Below are 12,218 nucleotides of genomic sequence, written 5' to 3' on the forward strand. Positions count from 1 at the left end.
GCATGTTCACAAGTCTTATTTACAAGTTGTAGAGTATATTTTTAAAATAATTCAAAATTATTTTCTGACAATGCAAGGCCATAATTTGGAAGATCAAGTTTTATACTTTAACAATAAAGAATGCAAAAAGGGTGTAAAACTGTTTCCCCCTGCTGATGGAGACCCCAGATTTAAGATCTCCACACTCAAAAATAAACAAACCCAGAGAAAAACAATTCTCATACTTCAAGATAACAGACCTTCTAATGTGTTGTTCTATACTATTATTTATTGGACAACCTATTATATTCAGTTGTTATGTTTCCTTTAACATTCAATTCTGAATCAGTAGAATGTGGCCTAAGAGCCTGAAGTTTCATCCCTGGGATTAGAATATGAAACCTGTAACTTTTAAATTTGTTGCTACATTTAACTTATTTATTTGTACTTTCCAAAAGTTTTGTCTCAAGTATTAAAGTTACTGAAAGCCCAATCATATCTGAAGAGTCATTTTATTTAAAAGTAAAAGCTACTTTAAATTTAAAATATTCTTAAATTCAGTCTTTTTACTAAATGTACTGTATTCATCAGCATCAGTTGGGTTTAACTTAGCATTAAAAAAATGAATGGGAAGCATTATGTTAACATGATTATTATTATTGAAATATAATCATGTAAATAACTCAGTTCCATTGGGAGTAGACTAAGTGCTATTTTTAATGTATGTACTTCCTTTTCTCATAGACTGTACATATTTAAATGATTTAAACTAAATAAAAGCAAATGTTTTTTTATAATCACAAGAATTTAACTTAGCTTTTTCATTACAACAATGCCATTGTATATTTTTTCAATCTTTATTTTATTTTTACTGAGCTAACATGGCTTTGCTAATTCTTTTAAAGTTATTTTGATATGTTTTTATTACAATATTCAAAGCTAAGCCTTAAATTGTATTTTGCATATATGATATTCAATAATTTAAGTAAATTCAAGTATGTATTAATATATAATATATCTATTCATATTTTGGAGTTTAAGAACATACTTTTCCTTCCCTTTTGAAATTCAATATGTATAATTCCAAGGAAATATAAATTGAAATAAAACTATTAGTTATTAATATTTAAGAAGAGATCAGTTTCAGGTAAACAAGAATTTATTTTAAAAGAGATTTGGCCTGTATTTATGTTGAGATTTGACTGAAACTTCTGATTTATTTTCTCTCAAGAATTGTACTAGTGTTTCACTAAAATGTCATTCTTGTTGAGTAAAGTTTGGCCTTAATTTTCACTCTGCCAACCCCAACCTGGTGAATCAAAGCACTTATATTCCAATATAATCACAAAGTAAGCTGTCACATAAACTTTATGGACAGTGATTTAATGAAAAGGTAGTTTCTTTAAGATTATTTCATTGTCACAATCATTGGCAGAAGCAATATAGTATAGTAAAAAGGTTTAAACTTAAATGTCAGAAATTTTGTTTCAACATCATTTGAAAATATGTATCAAGAGATAAAACAATTCATTTCTCTTGACAATATTTTCTCTTGAGGCCCTAATATTGAATATGAAAATATTAATATTAAAACCATATAAATCTTTTTACCCAAAGATAAGAATTGGAACATTATGTTATCAATGCCTGCAAAAATTCAATTTATTGATAGATTACATCTTCATAAAAATGTGGTGTAAAGTCTAAAATTAAGGTCCAATATTATGTCTACCTTGATGTCTGGTGAAATCAGGAAGGCTTCAAATGTCATAACCACAAGTCATCCTCCCCACTCTGCCTCCAGTGATAAGGTTCCAGATCCAAACCTCTTTATCAATCTCTTTATCTTATTAAATCTCTTTATCAAGATGGGAGGAGGCTGGGTGTTGTTTCTGCCTAGCCTTGAGTAACTTTTCAGTTTCCCACCAGCCGCAGAAAATTATTCAAACAAGCAAGCCAATGACATCCTCCTGTGGGAACCAGGGGACACCTTCCCTCTTAATACTACAAAGTCCATCTCCCACAGTTCCTATTACTTATACCGTTCTTGATTGTAACCTTCATGTGGCCCTGCATGGCACAGTGTCCTCCTACCCTGGGCTCCGAGTTTAGGACACCAGTAAACTGCTACCAATCTCATCTGTCCAGGTTGGGTGCCATGTATTCAGCCATCCCATAACCTGGATTCATCCCTCACCAATGGTGTGACTAGCAGGAGATTTAAAACAAACAAACAAACAAAAAAATTCGTATACACACACAAAAAAATTGTTGTTAAATGGGAAAAAGAAGTTATAATAATAGATTAAAATGCATGGCCAAAAATGTATACCAAATACATACTTAATATTTTTTAAAAAATATTTTTCAAAGAACTAGAAAGATGCAACTAATGTATTAATAGTAGTTTCCTCTACACAGTGGGATTCTGTACTTCTCCTACTTGCTTTACTTAACAATAATTTAAAATTTAATATATAAGAACACTTAAAAATAAGAAGCCAATTTTTTCCCCTAGCTAATAAAACTTGGACTGTTAAACTTGCTTTATTCCTCATTTTATTCTCCAATGTGGGGTGTAATACTACCTTCCACAGTCATGGCTACATTCACTTCAGGGTACTTTGAGTCTATCTTATGAATTTTAAAAGGTTAGATAATGTAAGTCATTTTTGTTGTTAATTATTACAGTAAAAACAGAGTTCTTCCATTAACACAGCTAAAACTGGCTAGTTGCGTAAAAATAGTTTCCTGTCTTTCTCTGCCAGCTCTACAAAAAACACCACAGTCATAAGCTGACTTCAGTATGTCACTGCCCTCTCCCAACAACTCAGTGTGAACCTCTCCATGTTCAGGGCTCCCGGTTTTCTCTCAGACAACCCACAAAGGCTCTCACTTCACAATGCAGCTTTTCCCTTCTTCCTACTACTTCTCATCTCATAACAAAATGTACTGAATTTTATTCAAGGCCCTCTAGTTCCTTTTTTCTGCTTTTCATGATAGCAATCAGAAAATCACCCAAACCATCTTTATAATGGATTCAAATGTGTCAATGGCTTATCCAGCCTGGGTAAGACATGTGTGTTTTAACAATGCCTTCTTATAACCTTAACCCAAAGAAGTGACTCAAATGGAATTCATGTATTTTATTCTAAAATTATCATTGTATCTTGTTACTGATTACCTAATGACAGGGATTTGTGGCACCAAAGTTAATCAATGTGGCAAATAACTAAAGGTAGAAGGAACCTCCTTCTCCACCTTTGCCTAATGTATGACTGGGTCCCTCAAGGAGAAAGTCATGGAGGAACTGTGAAAGAAGGCATTCCACAAACTGCCTGAGACAGACTGTCAAGTAAGGGGCTAAAGTGGCCAAACTTCTAAAATTATTACCATGTGTTATATTTTCCAAACACATTAAAAAATACATACTGGGGAAGGGAGTTTTAAAAAAATACTTCTGAGTATGTTAATTTAGTCACATACAAAAACATACAGTATTCTTAAAAGTAAATGAATTTATATTTTCATGTTCATTTTTGCTTGTTATTCTTTTATCTTGAAAAATGTCAGAAAGCTACACTTTTCAGGTAAGTTGCGACTGCTTCAGAACTGGAGCATACACTGTGATTATATGCTACACGGTCGACAGCTGAAGTAGAGAATGGCCATTTATAATGCTATCGGCAACACGCTTCTTCCTTTGTGCTCGGAATTCAGGTGCTTGTATTCTGCCACAATTATTACTTGACATTTGCAATGGGCTGAGGTTTGGGTTATTTTTTTTTCAACTACTGATCATCAAAAGACTACACCAATGATAATTTTGAACATCTGAGGAGGTCTGTTTCCATCTTAATCATTTGATCTCATGTAACTATAGGTTAATACTCTATGTAGAAAGGCTTTGGAAACTGTGGTTCAACACATTCACAGATGTACCTGCTCCATCATACTGGACAATATAACTCTGGAAAAGCAAGGTTAATAACGATAAATAGTTGACCAGAAGATAGTTTAAGTGATAATAAGCTGCTGAGTGAAACTAACTGAAGCAAAGGGGAGTTGGAAGAAAACAACAAAAAGCTGTGGGACCTATTTCAAAGCAAGCTACCACCAAATTGTTTTCTTCACTAAAATGAGACAGATACAGAAAGAAAAAAGCATATAATAATTAAGCAAAATATGTGCCAAGTGATATATTACCTTCTTGCTTTTCTCTCCTTAATAGGTATTTGCTTTTGTATAGAGCTTGCAAATTAATTTCTTTCTGTTAGGAATAAAGGGTAGAAAGGGTCTCTTTTTCCCACATAAATACCACCAATTATCACTTATGTAGGCCAATAGGCCAGTGGCTATTTTTAGTATTGTTTTGGCTAATTTTCTTTTTGTAAAAATGTAAAAATTAACAGAAGTAACTTGGGAAGGCATGCAAATATTTAGATATTTGACTTAAAAAGAGTTCCAAGGGGCAAGGCCCATCTCATGAGATGGCCTCTGCCATCTGATTTATAGGGGTCCAGGCCGACCTCCTGACTCTTCATTTGCTGGTTCACAACACCAAACTCACCACTTTGCCTTCTAGGAAAAGGCTTCCTAGAGTCCAGTGTCTCTAATATTAGGGGCATAAAGTCTTATCTGCAGATACTTTGGGCAGAATTATAATAGGTACCCTTAAATAGGACTTTTCACAGGATAGAAGCTCAGGAGAAAGGAGAGTATCTGGTAAGGAAAACGATGGGGGCTTGAAAGGGAAAGACGTTGACTGTATCAGTTACCTTTCACGGGTTTCTATCAATGCCTTGGATACAAGTTCAGACATAAATATTAAAGTCACACACACACATTTTTTGACACTAATTCCACAATTATTTTCTGATCACTAAGATCATATCAATTGGCTCACTTCAACCTCTAATAATAGATTTGCATTAGTAGTCAGCTCTAGGCATGATATTCATTAAGGCACAAAGACCTGCTATTCTTTCCTAGGCTCAGGAACTGGGACCAATGTTAAAATGTTATCGTAGCCAGAAATGAGTCGACTTAAACTTATGTTAGACAACTCAATGAAAAAATCTGAACAATTATTTCCTTGTTAGTTTTCTTAGACCTGCAATAGCACTGGCATTTGGTATTGCTTTGTTAGGTATATATAGGTGCATCTAGTTGAGTTTTTTTTTGGAACAACTACCAATAACATCCTTTTCTAGATCAATACCACCCTTTTGTTATATCAATACTACTTTTTAAATATTCGTATAAAAATGGTCAGTACTGCCATATATTTTTGAGATAGGCTTCAGAGAAACTTTAAGTCTGTGTACACGCATTACAAGCTTCAATTAAATAATTTATATTTCCATCGATTCACATGACAGAGCAACTAGCAAAGGCTGGAGGAGAAGTTCTCAGTGGAACAAAAATTTGGGTCTTAATGGCAAAGTCCAGAGTTTACACAAATCCCAAACCATAATTCCAGTTCATGCTCATTATGGAAATTCTACATTTTTCTCACACCTCTGCACTTCCAGTTGTCTTTACCACTGAACATGGAAGTGCTCAAATACCAAAGGCATGATTCTTTCATGTTATTTATGGCCTGACCATGGCAGGAAGTACCAGAAACCTCATGAGGATTTCCTCCCTTGTGTTATTTTCAACTTTGTGTTCATGCTGTAAAGGTCTAAATAGTTCACAAGCCTTTCTCAAAAGCAAATGAACCTGAATATTTTTTCAAAAGCAAATTGTAGGGGTCTTCATAGTTGCATTCTCTAAGTCCTGTGAGAAGCTAAGAAGATTGCATCCCAGAAAGCCAATCAAGATTTCCTGACCTATAAACTTAATTCAATAAAAATAGGTTAGCTTAGATTTAAAAAATCTGAGCCTTACTCAAAGTAAATCATGTAACTCACATATCTATGACCCAGGGACCCAAGCTGATACAGAGCACATAGCTAAGTATGCTAATCTCTTTTCTTATTTGGCTAGTCAGAGATTTCTTTAATTCTATCAAAAATACCACGTCATAAAGTTTCCTTTGAATGGAGGCTGTGGAAGAGTGGAACCAGGTTTCACCATTAGCAATCATAAAGGTACAACAACAAAAACTTGGCAAAATGATAAGTACAATAATTCTAACCAAGGCCACTGCTAGTGTTGAAGGGATGAAATAGAACGGATACCTCCACTGGGAAAGATACATTGGAGAAACGATGCCCTTCCTCCAGATAAAGGCATTGGCATTTGAGGGCAGGTGACCTGGGGGGTGGCTCGGGCTGCAGAATCCCACCCTCACCTATCCCCTGACTCTGCTTTTGGACTCAACTACACAATCATAGCACAAGCTCTGCTTTTTACACACAGCCCAGACCCTTATTGTGCCAGACTCCTATTAACTTCAGTAGGGATGGCACCAGGTTCAAGAGTCCAAAAAAGAGACTCAGAAACAGCAAAGGATACACAGGGTTTTACTAGCCTGAAACTTACATAGAGGGGCAGTCCAGTGGCAGTGTGATGGACAGGAGAACTGCAACCGCTTGAAAAAAGCATGCAGTTTATACAGCACCTTCACTGAGCACCCTCCCCCAACAACCTCCACCTGGCAACGTTCATTAAACTCAAAACAAAGGGCCTCAATCCCCTGCATGGCTCTCATTCCATGCGATGGGCTGGGGTGGGGGAGAGGGGCTCAGATGTTTCTAATTGGTAAGGAATGACTCTCCAGGTTGGCTACTCACAGATTCCTTAGCTCGGAACGCTAAACCCTCATTCAGGTGCATCTGCCATACAGGGTCATTCTCAGGCTGTGCTTAAGTTATTGCTGTCAGGTATATTGACCATACAAGGCTGTACAGAGATTTTTTTCTCTTAAAAACAAAAATTGCTATCCTTAACCTAATAAGCTATCTCTTGACACAAATATGAATTGCTCAACAAATCCCTCTACACAAACATGCATCCTCTATGGTTCTCAAATACATATAAAGTCTGGAGAGATTTCCATTTGTCACAGCTGTGTATGAAGGATGTGCTATTGGTATCTAATTAGTAGAAGCGAGGGATGCTGCTCAACAGCCTACACCCCCCAAACATACATAAATACACATGCACACCAAAAAATCATCCAGTCCATATGTCATCAGTCCCAAGCTTGAGAAAATCTGATCTAACTGAAGTCATGTAACAAATCAAATGTAAAAGAAAGTTTGTAGTAAATAACCAGTCTGTCACACCTGGGAAAAATGGACACAAGGTGACTTCGTTTAAATTTTAAATAACTATTCTTTCCTAGTATTTATCTTAAAGACACTGATATAACTATGGTCAATTAATTCACTCATTAAACCCCTCTTTACTGAGCAGCTCCTATGTGTAAAGCACTGTGATAAACACAGAGGATAAAATGGTGAGAAAAACAGACACGGTTCCTCCACTGATAGAGCTTATAGTACAGCAAGAGACACTATTTATCAATTCAGTGACTAGAGTTGTTTGCACTTCAAGTTTTTGTTCTTTACTTAATGTGTGTTTGCTTTGGCCTTACTGAATCCTAAGTACTGGGCTAAATGTGGCTGGGTGAAGTGCAGACCATACACCCTCTGCCTCCATAGAACTTATGAATAATGTGATATGACAGAGGTTACAGGATGCTTTGGTGGTACACGAAGTTTACCCCAGGCTTGGGGAATCAGGGGAGGCTGTCCAGAGATTGTGACATCTCATTAAGACCTGAAAAATGCATGCGAATTGGCCAGGTAAAAAAGACGGAGGAGTCAGGCAAGGTGGAAGAATTTCAGAGAACTGTCAGCACTTCAATGTCATTGAAGCATCAAGGAGCAAGCCTGACAGGTCAGCAGGGCCAGATCGTAAAAAGGTTATATAATATATGCAGATAATTGACTTTTCCCCAAGGACAATTGAAACTATTGAGCATAAATTTCTTTTTTGTTGTTGTTTTTTAGAGTTTTTCCATCTGAAACTTCATTTTGCAATCAAATAAAGTTACTTTTGTCTACTGTATTCCTACCTTAACCCCAATGCTAGAAATAAATAAACACAGAAAAGACATTTAGGATTGGTCAGAGTAGGTAAGTGTGGCTATTTCTATAAGAAAGTGGAGAAATGCCACAAACTAATTTTATTAGCCGTAGTACTGAAAACATTCAGTCTTTCAGAGACAAAAGGAAATATGACTTTTTTTAAAAGCTCACTTCTTCCCAAAACCTGCACATTTTTGTTGTAGATATAGATGAATTACTGCCAGATTCTACTTAAAATGACAAATACACTCAGATAACTGTTGCCTGAGTATTTCAGTGTCATCCCTATGTTAGTAACATTTTTCTCCAGAGTGTCAGACATAACTCTTCACTCAGTACTTGGGAAAAAAAAAATTACAGGAAGTTTCAGAGGAACCAGGGCAGACAAAACAGTGATCCACTGCTCTTTAATTTCCATTCTCATTTTCCCATTTTAAAAAGCAAAACATAAGTGAGCCTTCACGTTTTTGTTTCCAACATTTACTAACTTTTGCACATTAAAAATAAGAAAAGAAAAACTGCAAAATATGGGGGCAAATGGCTCACTAAGAGAGGTGAACAAAATTATTTATTTGTAAAGCCCACCAAACATTTTGTGGTTTGGGTTTGCAGGTGTTAACTTCCTCCCTAAATATAATTTTCTGCTAATAATTATGCCTATTATGTAAAGGAAAAGTTTTTGTCTGAAGTAAAAATGAATACTAAGAATCAAAACAGTAATAGAAGTAAACTTTATTGCTTGCTATTTGGTTACTTATTTTTATTCTACTCTCAAATTCAGTGAAAGATGATCTGGCATATTAGATTTTCTTGCCTATTTTAAAATAAAAGTTGTAGTTGATGGGCTTATACTTTCTTGGGCTAAGGATGCATACTGTGCACATATGAGAATACTTTCCATGGTATCCTTTTTGTGTGTCCATTATTCCTAAAGTAGCCACATGGAAAAATCACATTTATTCAGCTTGTAACAGACATGTATTGCACAACTACAACATGCAAGTCATGGTTATAGCTTCTGAGTTAGATTCAAATATGAATAAGCCATAATTCCTACCCTCAAGAAGCTCAGAGTTTACCAATTTAGGTAATAGATCTTACTGTCCAATAGGTTCCTGTGTCTTTCATTCAACAGATCAGGAATAAAAAGATATTTAAGGGACAGAAATAAATTTTCTGGCCCAAAGTCACATACATGTAAAGAAAAAGAACAAAGAAGCGCAGGCCCCTTCAAAGCTTTAGAGGTTTCCCACAAAACCCACATTGCTTGACCTAGCAGCAACAATGACTAATGGAGGTAGTTAGTAAAACACTAGACATCCTGTCAGATCTTCCCTTTGGGTAAACTTCACAACAAACTTTAGAACAAGGCATGCTATTTGTTCAAGAGATCACTGGTGCTTTCCTGGAAGACACCAACGAGCTGGGCTGAAATGTTCATTTCCTCCTACTGGACTGTCCGGAAGCAGATCACTTGTCCTTCCCACGCACTGTTTAGCTGAAAAACAGCCGGGAACCTTGGCCTCACGGACCCACACATAATTCCAGGACTGAGCATTGCACTCTTCATTTTTATTTTCAAGTTTTACATAATCCATTAAATATGTATTATAAGGTAAGGTAGCAATGTGTACTGCTCTTAGGGTTTCTCCAAGACTCCCCAAGAATGTCCATGCAGAGCAGATGGAAAATTCAAATTCACTGGGATCAAAGGACCTCCGCCTCTCAAAGATCTTTCCATGGGACCCCTCCTACCATCCCCATTTAAAGATGCTCTTCCAGTATTTCCTTACCCCTTTTCCTGTTGCATTTCATTTTTTCTTCTTAATATTTGTTGCTCTCTTACAGGCTATACAAAATGTCCTTCCTTTTCTTTACTGTATCGCCCGGCTAGAATATAAGCAGGACAGATTTCTGTGTCAGTATTGTTCATTGCTGAATCCCCAGCATCTAGATTAGTTCCTCATCTCTAATAGTGCTCAGTAAATACTGTTTAATGACTCATAAATAATCTTATACTGGAAATTGTTGTGTCTGTATTGAATACCATCCATTAACCTGAGAAAGTGTATATAACACGGTGGACCTCTTTCATGAACAAATTTGTTTGAGGAAGTGGTATGGTATGATTGATTATTAACTGCATGACCTATAAACTCAGCCTGTTGAATTTAAGTTCCAGCTCCACTACTACTTGCTATGTTAGCTTGTCAGCACCTGTGTTTTCTCACCTATGAAATGGAATGAGGATGTTATCACTGACTCCCTAGTAGTGAAGATTAAATGAAATATACATTTTGTGTATGACATACTTCTGTTATTTCCAATCAAGACAGTGTCAGTATTTGGCCAAGCTATATTTACAATAGCATATTTTATTCTGTAATGCAAGTATTTTACTATGTAATCTACTAACAGTCACAGTGAGTGACAGCCTTATCTTTATCCCCTCAACTGCCAGACTGACATAAAATCTGGGATCAGTGACCAAGCAGAACACCTGTTTCCTGGTGCCCTTAACAGCTTCAGAAAAGATCATATTCTTTCTAGCAACTACCTTTCCCAAGAACCGTGCCCCTTTTTCAAAAAATAAATCTAGAGTTATAGATTTTCACAGACAAAACAAATTTCTTTTAGATTTTATCTAGGCTGCTCACACCAACCACTATTCTACTCACTCCCATGTATAAACTGGATACCTTTTATAATTTCCCTGTATAAGGCAGCCATGTATGCAACCTCTGCTTCATCTCTTTCAGTTGACTCCCACCCCTTTACAAGGAAGTCTGTCTCATATATGCACAGTATGCATTATTAGAACATCCTTCCTCATACTGAATTAAATCTAGCCACTGGCTTAGTTCTGACTTGCAGGGCCCAGAGTAATATGGCTGCACCGTCTTTATCATGTTTGTGGGATATTTGAAGACAACCTACAGTTCTCTTCCTCTGATGAAACATTCCTGGTTCCTATGACCATTACTCATACAGCAAAATTTTCCAGATCCTTTTTTATTTTGCCTATGTCCGCCAAATTTATTACTCTGAGTGACCTTTTGAATTATGATCCACAGGACATGACCCCAAACTCAAAGAATGTCATGACCTGGTCTATGGCCTGGAATTCCTCTATGCAGGATTTGATATTTTAACCTCTTTAAAGACTATGTGGTCTTGGATAGATATTTCTAGAAATGATGTCATGCTGTTGGATCAGAGCAAGTGTGTGGACACATAAAATCCCCAAATCCATTTTGTGGAAGGTGCTATTAAGCCGGGTTTTCTAGCTTCTTGGTAAACTTGGGCCAGTGCTCTATTTTCTCAGAAGATCAAGAGATATGCTGGATTCACACATGATTTTCTTTTGGCACACTATGCACTATGCTCCAGCAACAAGATTGTATATAAGAAGCCAGGCCAGAGGTTTGGTGTCAGGAGGAAACAAACCTGAAATTATCTAAAGACACTAAAAGGGAAGGTCTGAGTTAGCACAAATAATTGAATAATATTCATGGTTCTGAAATGATTTTGGAAATTCTATCATATAGAAATACAAAGTTCAAAAATTTTTTCTGTCCAGTCATTCTTACCCTTAGATCCATATATACTTCAGGAAGTCTATAACTCTCCTCAAAGGCATGCAAAATTCGTGTAAATATATATTCCTAATATTTTTTCTGGAGAGAGAATTTATAGCTTTCATTAGACTCATAAAAGGGCCAATAACCAAAAGAGCGATTAAGAACCACTGTCAACTTAAAGGCATATTTGGTCATTCTAGGTGTTAAGAAAAGTACTCAGTCACATAGCTGATAGGTGATAAAGTATGAACTATAACCAAGGTCCTCTAAATCCCAGCCAAAGCTCCCTCCACTGCCAAATGCAATGGTAGGAAAGCATTACCAAATACAAGAAAAATATATGTGTGTATGTAAATGAATATATATATTTGATATATACATATTTAACATTGTAAAACTTACATTAGTCAATTTTAGATTAGCATATTCAAATTGCTAATTGAAAAGGATATTAGGCACTGCTAATGGAAGACAGACATAATTAAAAACATGGCTAGTGATACAATATAGGAAATAATGTCTTCTCATGGTTGTTATATAATAGTCTTCTCTGTGCTTTGTAACTGATGACTTGAACATCGTAAGCTTCAAAGTGAAACCTGTACTTCAAAAGTTC

The 12,218-nt window shown here is 36.0% G+C and overlaps 1 long non-coding RNA gene across 9 annotated transcripts in view; it reads right to left on the minus strand.

Annotated features, from left to right (window-relative positions):
* PELO-AS1 (PELO antisense RNA 1) overlaps positions 1-12,218 on the minus strand; it is a 127,387-nt gene that overhangs the window by 26,907 nt on the left and 88,262 nt on the right. The window contains exon 3 of one of the 9 annotated variants that reach the window (NR_186451.1): positions 9,815-9,911. The exons of the other annotated variants lie outside the window; for them this stretch is intronic. This is a non-coding gene — a long non-coding RNA (PELO antisense RNA 1). The remainder of the gene's footprint in view (positions 1-9,814; positions 9,912-12,218) is intronic. 9 annotated transcript variants of the gene reach the window in all.

This window comes from Homo sapiens, chromosome 5 (genome assembly GCF_000001405.40).
Source record: "Homo sapiens chromosome 5, GRCh38.p14 Primary Assembly".
Taxonomy (NCBI): Eukaryota; Metazoa; Chordata; class Mammalia; order Primates; family Hominidae; genus Homo; species Homo sapiens.